This window comes from Homo sapiens, chromosome 6 (assembly GCF_000001405.40).
Source record: "Homo sapiens chromosome 6, GRCh38.p14 Primary Assembly".
In the NCBI taxonomy this organism is placed as follows: domain Eukaryota; kingdom Metazoa; phylum Chordata; class Mammalia; order Primates; family Hominidae; genus Homo; species Homo sapiens.
In genome coordinates, this window is record NC_000006.12 from 145,628,851 (window position 1) to 145,649,550 (window position 20,700).

Here is a 20,700-nt window from a genome sequence, read left to right on the forward strand (position 1 = left end):
TAGATGTCCTTTGGTGAAATACAAGTGCCCCTGAAGGAGCCAACACAACACACTGAGATGAGGCATCAGCACCTGAGAAGGACAGAGTTTACCAAGGACCACAGTGTGGCTTGAAAGGCCTCTCACTGGCCATTCCACCCAGCCAGGCATCATCCTCAGCTTCAGGCTCATCAAGCTCTGAGAAGGAGCAGAGTCCACATGGAAGCCAGGATAATATTCTAATTTTGTTGCTGGAGCTCTGTTAACCCCCTAGTGAAGAGATCTAAGACTGCATGCTCCACACAGCAGTTTAGAACGTTTGTACCTGGAATGCCTTCCGGCAGGGAGGACACGGTTTCAGTTCCTTGAGCTCCATCCTTCTCTGGCCTGTTGCCATACACTGTTGTTCCCTGCCTGGTCCCCAAGGGCATTTGTATTAGAGTTACCAGCTTCTATGTATATCTGATTCCTCATAGTCCAAACTGAACCATGAACTTTAACCCATCTAAACCACCACACCTGATTCCACGGCACCGTGAGATTACAGCGAGGTGGGTCTGCCACTCAGTTACTCATGGTGCCCTCCTAGAGGCACTAAAATATCACTGGAGATGCAACAGGATGGTGAGAGCATCATGTGTGACAGCAAGATGTCTCAGCATGTCTCAGGGAGAGCACTGCATGGCAGATCCACTATTTGCGCTGGGGGATCAGAGGACCAAAACCTCCAATGTATGATGGATCAGCCCTGCTGAGAATGGAGAGGCCTGCTCCACTGTGGGGCTTCTGTTCTGCTGAGGGTATGAGGGGTTCACTCCAGGGAAAGCTGGGTGGGAGGAGAACTCTGCTGCTCGAGCTGGAAGCGTAGGTTCTTCCTGCTCCTGCCACAGCTAGCATCACATGGCAAGCTCCCTGCTGTGCCTGTCTCTCCAGATACTATGTGCCTTGGCAGGAAACAAAAAAGAATCATTTAACGTAGGTTCAGGCTTGCCTCAGATGCCCAGTATGTGAATAGCCCACAGTGGTCATTTGCAGTAGGAGCTGCTGGACTCAGAATCCCAGCCCCTGGCACTCGGTGCATACAACATCAGTGTAACCAGCCTGCAAACAAGATCTTCCCTGGTCCCAGTCAAGATCCCTTCCCCAGACCTGTTCTCTGGCCAGAGGTTCCCCTAGGATGGGTCTGCACCAAATAGCACAAATGATGCAATACATTCCCCTTTTCATTTTATGTGTAAAACATTCTTCAAGAGGTATGTACACAGTTTAGAAGTTAAAAAGGGGCATGTGTTAGTTTGAGGTTCTGTGATCTCAGGCACACACTCCTGAAAGGTACATGTCAGCTAACATGCAGAAGCTCCCAAGGCTCCCAGCCTCACACAGATTTCAGCATTGGGCACAGCCATCAGTGATCTTCTCCCGGAATCACTCAACCATTGCACTGAAGAATGAGCAAATGTTTAATCAACATAAAGAATAAATACTTAAGAAGGGTATCAGAGGCCAAGCGCGGTGGCTCATGCCTGTAATCCCAGCACTTTGGGAGGCCGAGGCAGGTGGATTGCCTGAGGTCAGGAGTTCGAGACCAGTCTGGCCAACATGGTAAAACCTCATTTCTACTAAAATTAAAAAAAAAAAAGCCAGGCATGGTGGTATACACCTGTAATCCCAGCTACTCAGGAGGCTGAGGCAGGGGAATTGCTTGAACCAGGGAGGTGGAAGTTGCTGTGAGCCGAGATTGTGCCACTGCACACCAGCCTCTGGGAGAGAGCAAGACTCCATCTAAAAAAGAAGGGTACCAGAGAAGTAGCTGGTCCAGGGTGCCCACTCATCTCAGCCTGGCCACAGCTGGAGGCCTGGTTTATTTTGATCTCCTGTGACTACAAATCACCCGCTTTGGTTGATGGTAGATAACATTTATTGAGCCCTTTCTACCTTCCCAGCACTCTCGTAAGCATTTTACATGCACTAGCCCATTTACAACCACCTCTTAACAACTATGAGGTCAGCACTGTTGTGATCTTCAATTTATATATGAACAAATTGAGCACAGACATTTGCCCAAGGTTATTCCTTAAGTGGCCACTCAAACTCAGCCAGTGTGACTCTGAAGCCGCAGGTCTTAACCACTGTACTGTGGTCCTTCCCTAATCCACCTGGTTAATGGTATTTGTTGGCCCCCATCTTGTCAATCTGGATTCTCAGTCAGTCCCTCTGCACTCACTTACCAGCCCATGCTGCTGCTCTTACCCTGGGTGAGAATAATGTCCTCCTTGAGGATTAACACCTCTGCCCCACCCTAGAGGAGCCCTCTCAAGAGGACCATGTCTCTCTGCTTGAAACCCATTCTAGGAAGTCTAACCTAATATGTGACCCACTAAGGAATAAAAAGAGGGTCCCCAGGAAGGTTCATCTTGATGTACCCAGCTCAACAAAGCCAGTGTCAACCAGAGCAGCTATAGATAGGCTCCACATAGAATTTAATTTGATAAGACATTTCCATTCTTAAAAACAATAAAACCTCAAGAAAAGACAGAAATCCAGATCTTTTAACATAAAGTATTCCAAACTTTAAATGCTGACAACTAAGTTGAAAAACTGTAAATCCTTTGCAGGTCAAACAAGACATTCTACCCTCTGAGTTTCTGACTCTGTAATTTAATACAGGCCCTAGTTCTCAGTAGATGCTCCATACACACTCATTAAGTCCATGAATAAACACAAGACTAGAAAAACAGCAATAAAAGCCTATTTGATCTGAGACACTACTAAGCACTTCTAGCCTAACCTGTGGTTCACACCAGCTCCAGGCTAATCTGACTCTGGACCAACCAAAAGCTTCCTGAAAGCACTATTGAGCCAGCCAAGGTTGTGAGGAGAGGGAGAGGTAGAGCATTTGGGCAGGTAAGTCAAGTAGCCTGAGGTATTAGGGCCTGAGATAAAAGAGAGGGGTCAAAAGGCCCTAAAGATATGCTTTATCCAAGGTTGATCCTGAAAGAAATCTGCAGCTTTCAGCCTTTCTCTCTCTCTCTCTCTCTCTCTCACACACACACACACACACACACACACACACTTTCCTTTCTTACTCCAGGAGCAGATATATGATGAATATATTATGTGGGGGGCATATTTTTTTCCATCTTTGAAGTGTAATATAGATAGGATCTACATTATCTATAACATCCTTTGGTAGAAACTTAAAGACTTGGAACTAATCCTACAATTCCAACTTTGTGATTTTCAAAGCCCTTTCATATCAATTATCTTATTCTACTGTTATAGTCCTGTAAGGTGGAAATTACTATCCTCATTTTCTTAATGCAGGAACTAGCCTGCCGATATCCTCCCAGCTACCCAGTGGTGACAAGGCTTTAGCCCAGTTGTCTTGGCTCCAAGGTCAGCATTTCCGTGCAATGGGAGAGCCGAAATCAGTGTGTTGAGCAAGGGAAAGGAAGTCAGACTTTGACAACAGAGGGGTAGCTGAGGACTTCATGAAGCCTGTGAACTCATTTGGGAGGCAAGGGTAGACATTTGTTATAAATAGTGCTGCAGTGACAGAGGTCAAAACACAACCTGAATACCTTCTATGCAAAGAAAATTTTAACGAGCAGATTTGTTTCATTTTGTTTTGTTCAGGTGAGTGTTAGATTTGGCAGATTTTCATTCCCTAGGTGAAAGACACAAACCAAAATGTTTATAAAAGATTTTTTAAAAAAAGAAATCTACACCACCATTCCACATATGACAAAAGCATGCAAGAGTAAGGATCGATCACACGATTGATTATAACAGGTCTGTGACAACTAGCGGTGACAGTCAAGCCTAACAAACTGTCTTCTTTCTCAGACTTCAACTGAGAGCATTATGCTGCAGCTCAAAACACTTCCAACTGGGTTTTTCTCTAGAGTTCTAAAAATATTCAGCTGATTAATCTATGTGTTCATTGGGCTAATACTGTGAGCCACAGACATTGGTCTATTGGTAAAAAGTTCCCCTGCCACTCAGAAGTGGTTATTAACCCTTAGATTACACCCCCAGGTTAGGCCAAGCCAAAGAAATCCATTAGTCGGTCTTACAGCTGGGCCTTTATCACGTGGAAGCTTGCATTTTGCAGCTCAAATGCCACTGCACTGTCTCAGCCTGAAAGAAGCTATGCTACTGCACTAACAGTTACGACTGTGACCTGGTAACCCACTGACCGCAAAAAAGGTTCGTGAACACAACTACAATGGGTCCTTGGGGATACAGTTTTCCCTCAGGCTTCTGCAGAGTCCCAAACTATCAAGCAAATTACTATCTGTCAGCAGAGCCTTCAGGTAATCAGTGTGTGGGTTGGGATGGGATGGCGGGGGATGCGTGGCACAGTTGGCAGCCTAACTTCTCCCAGCCTCGTCTCACATCATTCTCCAACAGGATAACAATGCTGTCAAATCAGATTCAGAGATGCTAACATCAAAATGCTCTCTGGAAGCTACAGTCCTTCAAATCCTAACTATCTTCTCTGTTTTGAAACCAGGAAAACCAGCTGGACAAGGTAAATATCACCTGGATTCAACCAATGTGCATCTTCGCAAATGAAGTTTTTCTTTTTTTCTTCCTTGAAGAAGGGCAGAGCTCTTACAGCTAAATCATGCTTCCTTAGGTCAGGTTACCAAGAGGAATAACCAGACTGTCAGCAGCTCTCTCCACCTTCAGGAACAAACATTATACCCCATCCCCAATGGCAATTCAGCTCAGACACAGATCAACAAAGGGGCCCAGCCTGGCCAGGAGGACCACCTGAGATCCATAAAGGGCTGAGGTGGGCAAGGTCCAGAAACGTAGATTTCCTGTGGTCCTCATGGTTTTTTATCTTGCAGACCATTCACTCTTGGGGAGACAAGCTACTTCCCTTGCAATTTGTAGGCTCTGCCTAACTCCAGATGATCATGAACATAAGGGGTTGAAATTGCATGGGTCTGAAGAACCTGCCTGAAGCGTCTGTGTAAGAATGCAGGGAGAAGCTTCATAGCTGGTAAAGTTGCTGTCTGGAGCAATGTTCTGGGTCCGACTGCCAGCCTTGAAATTCAGAATGGGCCTCTTTTTAGTTCTATGACATGGGCAATAACTTTTTCATGCCTCAGCCTCTTCGTCTGCAAAATAGAGACAGCTACAATATCTGCCTGGAGTCTTATTATGAGAATTAAATAAGCTAATTCTTGTAAATTGCTTAGGAGAGTGTTTTGTACATAATATACATTTGGGGGAAGAGGGCTAAAGATAGAAACGTCTCTGAGCTGGATATCACTGTCCTTTCCCCAGCAGAGGAGGTCATCAAACTCCTTAGCCTCTCCCATTTCTGAAGCTCTCTGCTGCCCCCTGCTGACAGCTGCTTGATACTATCGGTGTAACTTGGTTCTCTCCTCTGCCGACTGTAGTTATCTCTACTCCTCTTCGACAAGTACCCTATTCTACAACCAGGCTAAAATCCCTATCATTCCTCTAAAATTCCATGCTTCTGTGCCATAGCCTGTGCTGCTGCTTCCCCCTAGCATGCCCTTTCTCCCTCCACATCTACCTATCAAAGCCATGCCCACCTCAAGTGCCATGGCATTCACGCAGCCTCCCTTTGTCGCTCCCCAGAATGTGCTCTTCCCATGCATAACCCTCCTCCAGCACGGTCCTCACTCCTCTCTTACCCATTCCCCTCTGTGCTGTAATTAGTGTCGAACTCGTCTTACTGTACAACTGCTTCTTCCTGCTATAGGATAGCGTCTAAAGTCCTTTTTGTCGCTCAAATCCTGCAGGATCATCTTTCCTCGTTCTCTGATCCAAGCCACATTGGTCTTTCAGTTTTTGCAACACTCTGTGCTCTCTCCTGCCACAAGGATTCTTCTAAGCTGCTGCTTCTGCCTGGGTCACTCCCTCCACTCACTCTTCCTCCAGCCCACCCTCAGATCTTAGCCCAAACACTACTTTCCAAGAAAACCCTCTTTGACCCCACTTCTTGGCCTGATTACCTGTACATAATCTCATAGCAATATCTATATATTTTCTAACAAAAAATTCATCATAGTTTTAAACTTCTATTTTTAGTCATTTGATTAACATTTGCCATCCCTATAGGACAATGCGCTCCGTGGGGGCAGAAGTTGTGCCTGTCTTTCTTTACTGCTGTGTTCCTAGCTACTAGCATAATGCCGCATACCCAGTACATACACAATAAATATGTGTTGAATGAATAAACAAAGAAGCCACATTAAACAGAATCTTAGCCACAGTGTCAAAACATATGTATTATATATATTAAATCTAAAATCTTATATTTATTCCATTTCTACCATTCATTTTTAAGATATTAAATTATAGATAGACAGACAGACAGCAAGGGTTTCTCTGAAATACAGCAAGGAGGCAGAACAGTTCTGATCCTTACCTTCGGTGCTCATATCTGGTGTTGGCATCCAGATGTAGGCCAAGCCTTCTTCCCTATATAGTTTAATCATAGTGTCTGGAGTCATGGGCTCTGGGTAGCGGTTACAGCCTGAGGAATTCTGTACAATATCCCATTCAGTCTGGAAATTCATTACAGCTGTAATCCCCAATTCATGCTTCAGTTTGATGGTTACATGTTCCACCTGACGAGGGCAGCTACCCAGCCAGATATTTGGTAGAATTCTAATGAGAACATATGGAGACAACTATCACTAGTGTTGTTCTGATTTGAGGTTTAAGGAGCTGCATAAAACATGTAGTATTAAAATATAACTAACCTTTAAGTCTGGCACAGGAAAAGCTAGATATTTTAGAATATGAACACCAATGTTATTATTGAAAGAAAAAGTACTGGTGTTGCTGCTTTGGGGAAAGCAAGTATTTCAATTAACTAGAACGCCAGGAAATGGACATTTGCAAACCAAATCAAGCAATATATTAAAATAAGTCTACCAAGTTGTACTTATTCCATGAATGCATATATGGTTCCACATGATAAAAATCCATCAATAGACTTCAAATGCTAACAAATTAGAGGTGAAAATTCCTGTAATTATATAAATAAATTCTGAAAAACAAATTTCAGCAGGCATTCCGGTTTAAAAGTCTATGCAAATATTTCAAATAGTATGAGACTTTTAACATATGCTAAAGAACAGAAGCTAAAAAACAACAGACTTCTTTTAATAAGATCAGAATCAACATTAATTCCATTAGTACCTAGCAGTGTTCTATAGGTTTCATCTAATGCTGCAAGGTAAGAAGGAGAAATAGCAATATAGTTTCCTTTTGGAAATTATCATTGAGGTTTATTATAGAAAAAAATAATGAAATGAAAAAGTTAAAAACTCAGAAAAATTTTAATAACCCTTTAGACAAGAACCCAAGGAGAAAAAACATAAAACACGCTTATCTGGCCGGATGCAGTGGTTCACACCTGTAATCCCAGGACTTTGGGAGGCCAAGGCAGGCGGGTCACCTGAAGTCAGGAGTTCTAGACAAGCCTGGCCAATTCTACTAAAAATACAAAAATTAGCCAGGCGTGGTGGTGGACACCTGTAATCCCAGCTACCGGGGAGGCTGAGGCAGAAGAATTGCTTGAACCCGGGAGGCGGAGGTTGCAGTGAGCCGAGACTGCACCACTGCACTTCAGCCTGAGTGACAGAGTGAGACTCCATCTCTTAAAAAAAAAAAAAGTTTATTCTCTCCTGTAGGGTAAGCAGAACTGAAGTTTTAGAAAGACAGTGGTGGATCTTCATTAGGGAACTGGGCAATTGGCTTCTCATGTTAACAATGTTGACAACAACAGCCAAAAGGAAAAATGTAAAAACCAAAAAAGAAGCTGGCGCAGTGGCTCACGCCTGTAGTCTGGCACTTTGGATGGCTGAGGCGGGGATTGCTTGAGGCCAGAAGTTCCAGACCAGCCCAGCCAACATGGCAGAAACCTCGTCTCTAGTAAAATTACAAAAATTAGCTGGGCGTGGTGGCACACACCTGTAATCCCAGCTACCTTGAAAGGCTGAGGCCTAAGAATTGCTTGAACCCAGGAGACAGAGGTTGCAATGAGCCAAGATCACACCACTGCACTCCAGCCTGGGCGATGGGGCAAGAACCTGTCTGAAAAAAAAAAAAAAATTAAAAAAAAAAAAGATTTCGTATAACATTTAGTAACAATTGTATGATGTTAGGCCAAGTTATTTATCAACTCTAACCTGTTGGTGTACTCATCTTTAGAATGGGTCTAAAAATAACTCATAAAAATCTTGTAAGGAATAAATACAATTAATGTACCTGAATTGGACTGAAACCGTGGATGCACAGTAAGTGCAAGCGGATTTCATGTGTAGCTATAGTGATTTACTTATTTTTGTAATTTACTTTGCATTGCATTGTAAAGATTATTCAGTTAATTCTTCATTGTTTCCTATATTCTTCATTTGAATGCTACAGAGTAGAAGATACCCTATTTTTTTGTATGAAAGCTAGCTTTTTTTGTTTTTTGCTTTTTTCCTTTTGGTGGTGGTTGTCATTGTTGATGTTAACAGGAGAAGCCAATTAACTAATCCTCTAATGTGGTCATGACCCATAATCAGTGAAAATTATCTCATAAGATCTGGCACTATCTGTCTAAAGCCTGAGCCCTGCTTCCCCTGCAGGAGAAGAACAACTTTTTTTTTTTTTCTACTTGTGTTCTTGTCTAAAGGGTTATTAGGAATTTCCTTGCAGAAATCCTTATTGAGGATTATTATGGGAAAAAAATGATAAAAGAAAAGTTAGAAATGGCAAAAGACTTAATGGTGATGGAAAGAGAGGCATGAAATCCAAGGCCTTCATCTTATCCCTGGATCCAGATAATTCTTAGATATTCCACTGGACCCAGTGTACTGAGAGAAAGACCTTGAGCAAGGACACTTGCAGGGTGCCCAAGAGCCGAGCTTCATCAGGACCTGGATAGCTGAGTATTCGGGGGAAATGTCACACCCACTTGCTGATTGCCCCTTCCCTCTGGCTGTTGAGTGAGACCTGCCTCTAACTAGATGTCCCATCCCTCTTTCCAGATCTTTCAAAGATCCCTTACCCAGGGACCTGCTGGATGCCTAGTGAGGTGATAGTGCTGGGCTCACGTATGTATACTTTGGGGTTCAACTGAGCACACTAAAGCTCCTAAGCTGGAAAAGAGGGAAGTGGACACTTCCGTTACATAACCAAGAAATAGAAACTATTATAAGACAGTAATTTTTATTTGTTTGTTTGTTTTTTTCAACTGGCAAAATTTTAAAGAGGACTGGTAAAATATTAAAGAGAATTTCATGACAGGCAAGCTAAAATCCAAATACCACTCAGCATTTTCTTGAATATTGCACTCTTTGAGTGGGTACTAGTTAGTATTTCGCTAGTCGGTAAATGCCAAAATAAAATGGCTGGCTGATTTTTCACACAGGATTGCATAAAAGCTCAAGAATAGTTCATAGAGATACACAAAGGGTAAATTAGGACATTTGAGCCTGCAATATAAGAAATCAGAGTCAGCATATCCCAAATCAGAGTCAGTCTATAGAGTCACATGTTGTTGCTAAAAGAGGTGTTATTCTATCATATCCTTCAGCCCTGGCCTTCAAATGTTTTTAAGGTGATAGGGAAACTCAGAACAAGTCAAAGATAAACAGGCCCAAAGCCAGTAGCTTAACACATATATCTCACACATAACATTTCTGATGGAAATAAGCCCTTAAAATATACATCCAGACATGGTGGAAGTCAGAGTCCATATTTAAGAAATGAGTATGAACTAATTTCTGCTACTTTAAAACAAGATGTTCTAAACCTAGAGACAGATAACTAAAGATAAACTCTGAAAACAAACACTATATTGAAAGATAGAAAAGTAAGGTTATAAAGTGATTTGTACTGAATCATTGTATGGGATGCAGAGACAAAGACTGGGCCTGTTGGAAACAAACACATCAATGGATTCTGCTTAATCAGACAGCTAAAGTGCCCTTCATGTGCATCCTATTTCAGTTTGTTTTCCAAAAGTAGGTGATATATTTCTAGTTATAGGATTCACTGGGGGTAACAAGATACATGATATGCTTTCTAAAAAGTAATTAAACTTTTACTCATCCATTCAAAAGAGGATAATTTGATACCATTAAAAATTCATTTTTACTCATCTCATCTCAGTTTTAGTCTTCTTTTGGTATCAATGTTATTTTAAACAATTTTTAACATCAGGATTTTTAGGGTGAAAAGAAGCCTGTTGACATATGAGATTAGAGAATAAAAATTCTCTGTAAGAGTAGTTTTAATGCAAGGCATACCAAAATTCAAAGATATAATGGAATAGAAGTTATAGCTTACAATTATAAGTTATATCATAAAACTTCCAGAGACTTGTTTCATAAATAATCCACTATCAATCATGAACTCAAGAGATTTCTGGCAGCTCCACTATAGACTATTTGGAGGTAAAGAGACGCCAACTAAACCAACAGGGTATTGACACTCAGTCAGCTCAGGACAGAAGTTTTCAAACCTGGCTATGCATTCAAGTCACATGAGGTACTTTTATAAAAACATCTATTACCAGGATCCATCTCAGAGATACTTATAGAGAGGCTTGGGAGTTAGGCCTATAATTCTGTAGGTTCTTTGATTTTTGGTCTGTTTAGAAATTAACTAGATTGTGTAAGCAGCAGATTCCAGAACCACCACCTTGGACCACCAGTCCAAGGTCTCCATATGCATGTAAGAGAAGCTTAATATATAGAGCCCAATATCTTTTTTAAATATCAGTAAAAAATATGGAGATGAGAAAAAATGGGCTTCCTCAGTCTGACATATCTACAAATTAAGGTGAGTTCTTATCTTTGTCCAAAAAATAGTGTCAAGACTACAAATAATTCCTAGAGTGAGAAATTATTTGTTATGAGAGACAATGTATATCCATGTGTTTAATGCACAGTACCTTCTAACTGGTCAAAACTAAATCTACTTCTGAGCCACGACAAATATTTAATATAGTCCTATGCATAAGAATGTACTTTTGTAGAAAAAAAATTATTAACTAGGGTTTTGACTATTTCTGCTGTGCTATAATCAGATTATACATAAATAAAATCTACCCTAGTAGTATTACAACTTAGCTAAAGACCAGGGGAAAGAATAGATGGCTGACATTCTGGAACCTTATTTTCTTAGACTGCAAATCAAAATCAATTTAACTCATTTGAGTGAATCTGGATTTGTGGTTCCAGGTAACCATATCATAATACTACAGTATTTGTTTCACCCATCAGGCTTGGGCCTGTGGTCCAACAGCTACTGAAGCGTATGAATCAGACGCTCAACTGTCAGTCAAAGGAAGCCTCACTGGCACATCAGACAGAATGACCATCCAAGCACTTTGTAAAAATCACCACAGGGTATCGACAGGAGAAGTGGGTGTCTAAAAGACAAAAGGTATTGGGAGACAAGTCCATTCAATGGACTTCACATTACAGCTTCCATCACTAATGGCCATGAGAAATGGCAGAATAACCTTTTCCTAAAGGTGAAAATCAGCATTATTTTGTGTCCATCGAAAGAAAAAAAGATGAGGAAAACCACAGGAATAATGGAACCAGCTTTTGTTTATTTATCACACCTAAAGACTCCAACTGTTGAACTGCAGTGCCCTCTTCCTAGCCATACAAACGGAGCACCATTTCAAAAAATAGAGAAAATCGATTTTGCTGAAGCTCTTAACAAAACCCAGCTAAGAATTTAAAAGGAAAGAAAAAAAAGCACATTTCCTAAGTTGGATAATTGTGTTGCATTTATCTTATTTAATATTTTACGGGCAATTCAATGAGAAATTAAAATATGAACTGGCTCTTAAATAATGAGTAAAGGGAAAAAAAGTCTATCCGTCCTATAATTTAGATCTCATTAGTGGGAAAGCAAGAGAAACATTAAAATCAACCTCTAGTAAGCTCCAGGCTTCAGTAGCACATACAGCTCCTTCTGCTGAAAATTTGTCCTCTAGCATCCAGTGTTAAGTTATTAATGCCAAACTTCTACCCCAAAAGGGTGCTTATAACAGGCTCCAGTTAAGGCTGAATAACTACTCAAAGACAAATTCCAATTTAGAAAGTGATACTAATTAGCTTCTTTATTAAACCATAGTTTTATTATAGTTTTTTATGAGTCATACACTATGTATATAGAGCACAAGTTAATTTCTGTAAGTCCAGTTCATTTCTTACATTTTGGGGATGTACTGTGTAGTTTAGAGCCATATGAAAGCAAATAATTTTTGACAAAATGCTCTTTTATTTTCCATATTATGAAATGCCATATCATTAATTATAAAGGCCTATTATGTTGACTTGTGTCCCCCTCCCCAAACTCCTATGTTAAAGTCCTAACGCTTAGGAACTCAGAATGTGACTGTATTTGGAGACAGGGTCTCTACAGAGGTGATCAAGTTAAACTGAGGTCATCAGAGTAAGCACTGACCCAAAATGACTAGTGTCCTTATAAGAGGGGGGTTTCAACACAGACACAGAGGGAAGACAATGTGAAGATACAGGGAGAAGATGGCTTCAAACAGATGCTGCCACTCAGCCCTCAGAAGGAGTCAACCCTGTGGACACCTTGATCTCAGACTTTCAGCCTCCAGAACTGTGAAATAATAAGCTTCTATTGTTTAAGCCACACTGTCTGTGGCACTTTGTTAAAGCAGCCTTAGCAACCCAATAAAAGTCTAAACATTCAGGCTTAAAATAGAGTCATTCAATCATCCAGACTCTTTTCAAATATCCATACACCAGACGTCCTTAAAGCATTGTAATAGATCTTTTTTCACCATTCATCCTGATGTTTGGAATTCTTGCAAATACAACTAGCATTTGATGGTAGTTCCCAAATGCTCTCTTTACACAATACTACCCTTCTTCCTTCCTTCACTGATGTCCTTCCATCTATCACCTGCGCACCTCTCACATGAGGGAAAAGATCACCAGACTCCGACTAAAATGACTGAAATACGTGGGCCCCTTCTTGATCTAATGATTTGGTACTGAAGTTCTGGGGTGTCTAGGTTTAATAAATGTGGTATAGTCCTGGGTCCTCTTACATGACTCTCAGAGAATGAACCTCAATGAAGAATCCCATGATGTAAGAGCACAGTCTCTCAGACTCACAACTTCTTAAGACTGAGTCCAAGAGAGTTTGGCCTTCTTGTTTTTGAGCATATATAGCCCTGAAATTTGATCTATATGCCGTGTCAATAGATTATAATTGTAAATAAGGCAACTAGCAAACTTTGCTTCCTTAAAGTCAATCATGAGGCAGCACAAAGATTGAGGCAAATAACCAGGCTACGACTTGGTTACCTTGATACAGATTTAAACAAAATGTGCCTTGAAAATAGACTATTGGTTTGTTAATGTTGTTTCCAATGCTGAGCATTCTTTGAAAAGTTAAAATGCCATATTTAATTTTTTTTTTACTTAGTGAACTTGAAAAGACTTGTTTAAAATCAATCCCTTGCATACTGAATTAGGAAGCACAAAAGACCAAGGAATAAAAAATTAAATACGTGACTTTTCTTGTATTTGTTTTAAAGAATCTGTGGATTCAACAAATATGAAATGATGCCTGCTTTTTGCCAGTAATTCAACAACCAATAGTGAGCAACAGTAAGCAAGACAAAGTATGCCTTCATTTGAGCCTGCATTCTTTGATGAAGACAGGCAACAAACAAATACATTTACCAAATGTATACATTAGATAGAATTAATTTGTAATGTGCTTTTAAGGACATAAACATGGAATTAAAATAGAGAACTACAGGGGAACGAGATTTTAGATAAGACAGGAAGGTGCTCTCTGAAAAGGTGACATTAAAACAGATCTGACATCAGAAGAGGCAGATACCCAAAGTCCTTTTTAAAGCGAGAGTCAGGTATACTTTAGGAACTGTGAGAAACCTAGGGACATGGAGTGTGGTGAACAAGGAAGAATATGGAATGAGATAAATATAAAATGACCAGGCAATGCCTTATTGATATGCTAGGGAATTTATATACTAATATAAAAGCAATGAAAAACCAATGAAAGGTTTTTAGGTAGAAGAGTGACATGGACTTAGAGCTTTTAAATGGTGACTCTGGCAGTGATATGCAAATTTGATTGGGTAGCAGGTGTAGCAGAGACTAGAGAGGAAGAGGGAAGACCTTTCGGATGGTGATGGCTCAGAATACAGTTAGTGGTACAGATAGAGAGAAGTGGATAAGTTCAAGATGTACTTTAGCAGTAGAACCAACAGAACTTGCACATTAATTGGATGCAATAGTTGAGGAAAAGAGAAGATTTAAACATGACCCCAAGGTTACTAAAGCAGTATGATAATCTAAATTTTCTTAATCAGGTCTACTCTCAATAAAACTAATATCTACAAGTTTCTTTACTATATATTTTTACAAGACTCAGAGTTCATCAACATTTTATTTATTAGGCATCATGTTAATGGCCTGCATATGGCCCAAAACTTGATAATATCAAGCTATTCAATTCCTTTTGTTTTCCCTCAAATCTTTATTTTTATTATGGAAATGTTAATAAAGTAGGGTTTGACTGAAGTAAAAACTTTATACACTGGATATGTAGCCCATCAAATTTAAGGGTTAAATTTAACTGATAATTTATGAGTTACATTTAATTCATGTTATAATTTATGGTTTAAATTTAACTCATATAGAAATATCCACTGTAGACAAAGTAGTACACAATGAAACAGATTTATTTATGTAATCAAGTCACTAAATAGATTTTTTAAGTTATTCTTTGGACTTGTGGGTCTTTATTTCAGCTCCAAAACAAAAATGAATTTAGAAAACAAGACAGTTGGAAAATGAAAATATCATGATTTTCTTCCTTTTTTAATGTTAATGTCTTCTTCACTGCCAACTATTTAATTTGTTGAAATACAAGGAATTCCTGGGATAAAAAGGGATTCCATTAAATACTTTGAGCAACAACATTATAATTTTCTGAAAAAAAAAAATAGTTTTGGATAGGTGTATGATTATTATTCATCTAGACCACTGCATCTCCCATATTAATGTGGAGATGAGTCATCTGGAGATCATGCTAAGATGTAGATAGTGACGTAGGACATGTGAGCTGGAGCCTGAGAGTCTGCATGTTCACGAGCTCCCATGTAACACCCATGCTGCTGGCCCTTGGACCACAGTTCGAGTATCAACAAATACTCTAATAATTTAATCTAAATACTATTATCATATTATTATACATTGCAATGGTGCAGTACAGTTCATAATGTTCAGCTATACTGGGATGTTAACTAAGTAAGATCCTCCTGCTAAAGCAAACAGAAAGACAAGCATTGTATCTCTGTTGTTAATGCTAATATTAACCAGGCTCATTATTGTAAAAAATTCTACTAACTATAGATGATTTTAAAATCTCTTTTGCCTTTTTTTCGTGAATTCCCAGTGAGCAAGCTGCAGGAAACCAAATGGTTGTGTTTACAGAATCACCTTCCTTGGTTCTAAATCATTCCCCTTTTCTACTATTTACAGTGCTCATTGACCTCCTGATAGAAGCCTAAAATTGTGCTATATTTTGAAAAGCTGCATAAGTTTTTTTTATATATGGATGCTGAAAATTTAGGAAAATACACATAAGACTTAAAATTTATGGGGCATCAAATAATTTAAATGGTTTAAAACTGACACAATTAGCAGTGCTGCAGTCAGGGATATCAAAAATTAGATAAGGTTCTAGAAAGACAAAGAAACACTTCCTCTTCCCTATGAGATGTGAGTAATTAGGATGGCAGGAACAGAGGATAAATATTATATTTTTAATTAAAAATATTATAATATTGATGCTTCCCAAATCCCTGGGAAGTTTTGCTTCTTTCATTCATCCTGAAGTCAGAGTACAAAGAGTATACTTCATGACATGAGAGAGAAGTCATGATAGCTACTACCTACCAAGGATGTGAAAATCAGAAAGGCCTCTGTCCTCCTTAAATTACCCAAGGATCCTGAGGATCCATACATATGGGAAAACAGATACTTGTCAGTAATACTTGATCTATTTACTTTATTACTAAGTAGGAAAGATTGTAAATTAGCAATTAGACATGTAGCATAATACATTTAACAAGGAGAATTAAGTACCAATCCCACCCAAACTGAAACTGTCATATTTAAGTTGGTATATCTCAAACAACTCTAATCGTCATGAGTGCATTTGGTTACACATGTTCCTGTTTGCAGTTAATTCATCCTGGCAAGACCTTCAGAATACAGTTTTATTTAAGATCATCTCTTCTAATGAGCATACCTAGCTTCTATTGAGTGAAGTGCTTAATTGGTAAAAATTGATCTTAAATTTTTATCAACTAAAATTGTCTCTTCCACATTTCATAGCCCAGGACATTCACATTTCCATCTTATGTTATGCAAATGTTTCAATATTTTCAAAAGTGTTGTTGTTGTTGTTATGAGACAGGGGTCCCTTTATTGCTCAGGCTGGAGTACAGTGGCACAATCATGGCTCACTGTAGCCTCGAATTCCTGGGCTCAAGTGATCCTCCCACCTCATCCTCCTGAGTAGGACTACAGGCATGTGTCACAATGCCCAGGTAATTTCTTTTCTACTTTTTTGGAAACGAGGTCTTGCTACGCTGCCCATGCTAATGTCGAACTCCCCACCTCAAGTAACCCTTCTGCTTCAGCCTCGAAGGTCACTGGGATTACAGGGATAAGCCACCATCCTGGCAAACTTTTTTTTTTTTGAGACAAGGTCTGGTTCTATCACCCAGGCTGGAATGCAGTGGTGTGATCTCAGCTCAGTGCAACCTCTGTCTCCCAGGCTCAAGCACTCCTCCTGCCTCAGCCTCCCAAGTAGCTGGGACTACAAGCATGCACCACCACTAATTTTTGTATATTTTGCAGAGACAGGGTTTCGCCATGTTGCCCAGGCTGGTCTTGAACTCATGAGCTCAAGCGATCCACCCGCCTCGGCCTCTCAAAGTGCTAGGATTATAATAGGCGTGAGCCACTGTGCCCGGCCCTGGCAAAACTTTTAAGGACATTTATTCTGCATTCATGACTGTGCTTAATTGTGTGGAAACCTCATCTAAGCTTGGCGTTCTCATCTAACGAGAAGAGTCTGGATCTCAAATTTTCTGATATCTAATTAATTTTTCCCTTAAACAATGTAAATTATCCATAGACTCTTATTAAGAGCATTCACTCCAGCAGCCAGAGACCCAGCACCTAATGAGTCCCACCTGGCACAACTGTTGTTTCACTGACAATTTAACACACAGTTTCTTTTTTCTTTTTTTGAGATGGAGTGTTGCTCTGTCACCCAGGGGTGCAGTGCAGTGGCGCGATCTTGGCTCACTGCAACCTCCACCTCCTGAATTTAAACAATTCTCCTGCCTCAGCCTCCGGAGTAGCTGGGATTACAGGCACGTGCCACCACGCTTGGCTAATTTTTTTTTTTAATTTTTTATTTTTTGTATTTTTAGTAGAGATGGGTTTTCACCATGTTGGCCAGGCTGGTCTCGAATTCCTGACCTTGTGTTCTGCCCACCTCGGCCTCCCAAAGTGCTGGGATTACAGGCGTGAACCACTGCACTTGGCCACATACACTTTCTTTCATTCTCTATTGAAAATTCCATCACTAGGTGATTGCATGTATCCTACTGATCACCCTATTACCCTACACACATTTATTCTTACCATGCTTCCGTCCCCTTCATAAACTGTGTCCCTCACATGCCTTTTAAGTGTGAGTGTTCCTTAGAGTTCCAAACTCTGGTCTCCCTTCAATTTATACACTCCTAGATATCTCACTGACATACATCGCTTTTACTGTCATCTATATGCTGGTAAACTCCAAATCCATTATCTCTAGCTCAGACTTCAACCCTCTATTGGAATTCTCTCCTGCCTATCCCATTAGAGTCAAATGAACTCATCTTCATTCTCTCCTCCTCTTTGCTCCCCACCTACAAACGTGCACGATTCTTCTCTGTGGTTCCCAGTCTCCAGGAATTGTGCCACAGCCACCCAGTCATGTAAGCCAGGAAACATCGCTTGTCTTCTCCCTATCCCTTCCCCCAGAGTCATTAGCCCACCATAAAAGTCAATTCCCTAAAGACTTGTAGAATGTTATTTCTTTCCTTCAGATCCACAACACTTAAGAAGTGAATTATATCAACAGCCTCCAAAATGACCTCCCAGTCTGTCTCCCTTACACACTGTCACTAGAGTGATCGTTTTAAAGCATAAAGCATGTGAAACCCACTCCGTATCCTGAAATACTGAGCTGAATATCCATCGCTTTTATATAAAGTTCAATCTTTTGGCCTGACTCTTTGGAATCTGACCCCTACGTGTGTCACTAATCCCATGTCCCCATATGAACCTCAATTTAGGGCAGATATTTGTAATTTTCCTAAAGAGCCATGCACTCTCCTTTCCCTTCCCCTTATTCTGCTATCATTCCTCTTGGAACACATCTTCCATTGCATTCCCCTGCTCATCTATTCAACCAAGCCTACATGATCTTCCTTGATCTCCAATAGGCTCACTTTGCTCTTTGCTTCTTTGTGTTCCCATGGCATCTTATACATACCTTTGTAAAGATATGTGCAAACAATAACACATCTTTATTTCAGGCTCTGGCCTCTCTTGCTCTGAATTATGAGTTTTCTTAAGCATTTCATCGTCTGTATTGTGACTTCCTAGAGAACAAGGATGCTATCTTATTCCTTACAGTACCCACGGCACTTAACATTGCATCCAGCATATAGTTATAAGCAAATACAAAGGAAGGAAGGCAGGAAGGAAGGAAGGGAAAGGGAAAGGGGAAGGGGAAGGGGAAGGGGAAGTGAAAGGGGAAGAGGAAGGGAAGAAGGAAGGACTTTACTAACTCAAGATATTCTAGAGGGTTCATTCAGCTATCATCAATTGAAAAGCACTTCTTTGACTTTCACAAAACTGTGTTGAAGACATTGTCAACTGTCTTATCCCAAGGATGTATGTGTTAAATTATTTGTTGAATTTAGCTCAAAATAACAATTTTCTCTGCAGACAAATGTGAAAGCTGTTTTTAGTCAGAATATAAAACTATGTAACTCAACATGTTTCCTTTCTTGCTTTAACTGCCAGAAAAAAGACAAATTTAGTGTTCAATAGTAGTAATTAGACCGCCTCAAATCCCTGGTAATTTCTATTCTATGTGTTCTCATAGATGGTCTATTTCTATGCTAAATTCTTTTACTACACATTATTTCTTCTTTAAAGTCTTCTGTTAAAAATGATTATATACTTGTAAATAGGTGGTGGATGGTGGCAAAACCTAATTCTCCAAAACACTTTTTCTTCGACCTTAAGTCTCTTGCATTATGACAGCCACATAAAAGGTAGAGACCAGCCTCTATTTGAACCAGAGAGATTCATAGCAACCTAACAGAATCCCGAGTCCTTGGTCAGTCTAGTTCTGCAGCTGTGTTTGTCAATCCAAAGGTCTCACTTAAAATGTACTGAATATTACAGCCACCCATACAATTCATCTGCAATAAAGTTTCATTCATGCTTGGAGTATACTCACATTTTTATTAATTATAACCCATGGACCATAACCATAAGTTCCATTTCATGCCACGTAGTATTTTAAATGTTAGCTGTTAACGCAGGTGGACAAGTTGAGTAGTAATGACAAATGTGATTCTAGAGCAGTGTTTCACAGCCCTGGCTACATGCTAGAATCTCTTGGAGGTCTCCTTCAAAATATCTCTGCTGAATCCTCAATTAAGTTCAGAATATCTGAGGCAGTGGGGTGGCACCCAGAATCATTTTGTCTAGGCACTCCCAAATGATTCTAATGTACATTAAGGTTTAGGAATCACTGATTCAGAGCCTGGGAGAGAGATCACAGTTGCAGAGAAAGATGTGTCATCTTCCCCTTGTTGGGGGATTGCCTATCAGAATTTTAAAAGTGAAAAAAAATTCTACCTTTAAATATCAAGCTTTGTATTTATTTACCTCATTGAAATGAAACTGGTCATAAAAATCTGAATGAAAAAGGGAAGTTAGAGGTGATTATTCATTTTCAGAGGATTTTCTTTCTTGATAAAGGATTCATTTAAGCATTTCTTCAAGTACCAAGTAGTGATTTAATTGATTTGTAGACTTATCTCAGTTATTAATTATGCTTGTGACCTTTGCAAAGTCATCTGAACCTCTCGTGGCCTCTCTTTTCTAATGTGTACACTGAGAGAACTGGATTCAATAAGCAGTTTCCCAGCTTTCACAGTAATTCTCATAGATTTCGAGATGTGACATGGAGGTAGGAAGGTGGCTCAGAGCTGGAGCCCTGGAGCCAGGCTGCCTACATTTGAATCCTGGCTCCACTAAGTATGTCACCTTGGACAGGTATTTTACCTCTCAGTGTTTCAGCTTCATCAACTATAAAATGGGATTAATGCATATCTCACAGCATTGTGAGAATAAATGAAATCATATAGGTAAAAGCATTTAGAATGGTTCTGAGCGCTTAGCAAGCAGTATTAAAGCATTAGTTACTAACCTATTATGAATATTATACCCTAAAAAAGTCAGGGACTTAAGAATACTAATGTGTTGGTAAGCCTATATGATGGGGGCAAATTGTGTAACACGTCAAAAATATGTTTGACCAGTTAGCTTTTGG

General features: G+C 39.9%; 1 protein-coding gene across 17 annotated transcripts in view; it reads right to left on the minus strand.

Moving 5' to 3' along the window:
* Positions 1-20,700, minus strand: part of EPM2A (EPM2A glucan phosphatase, laforin) — a 352,671-nt gene that overhangs the window by 245,498 nt on the left and 86,473 nt on the right. For 13 of the 17 annotated variants that reach the window (XM_024446550.2, XM_011536113.3, NM_001360064.2 and 10 more), the window contains one exon: positions 6,395-6,636. The exons of 2 other annotated variants lie outside the window; for them this stretch is intronic. In XM_024446550.2, coding sequence (XP_024302318.1) covers positions 6,395-6,636 — 242 coding nt within the window. Of the gene's footprint in view, positions 1-2,442; positions 5,112-6,229; positions 6,637-20,700 lie in introns of those variants that run through there. 2 more of the 17 variants (XM_047419363.1, NM_001368130.1) reach the window with 2 other exon arrangements.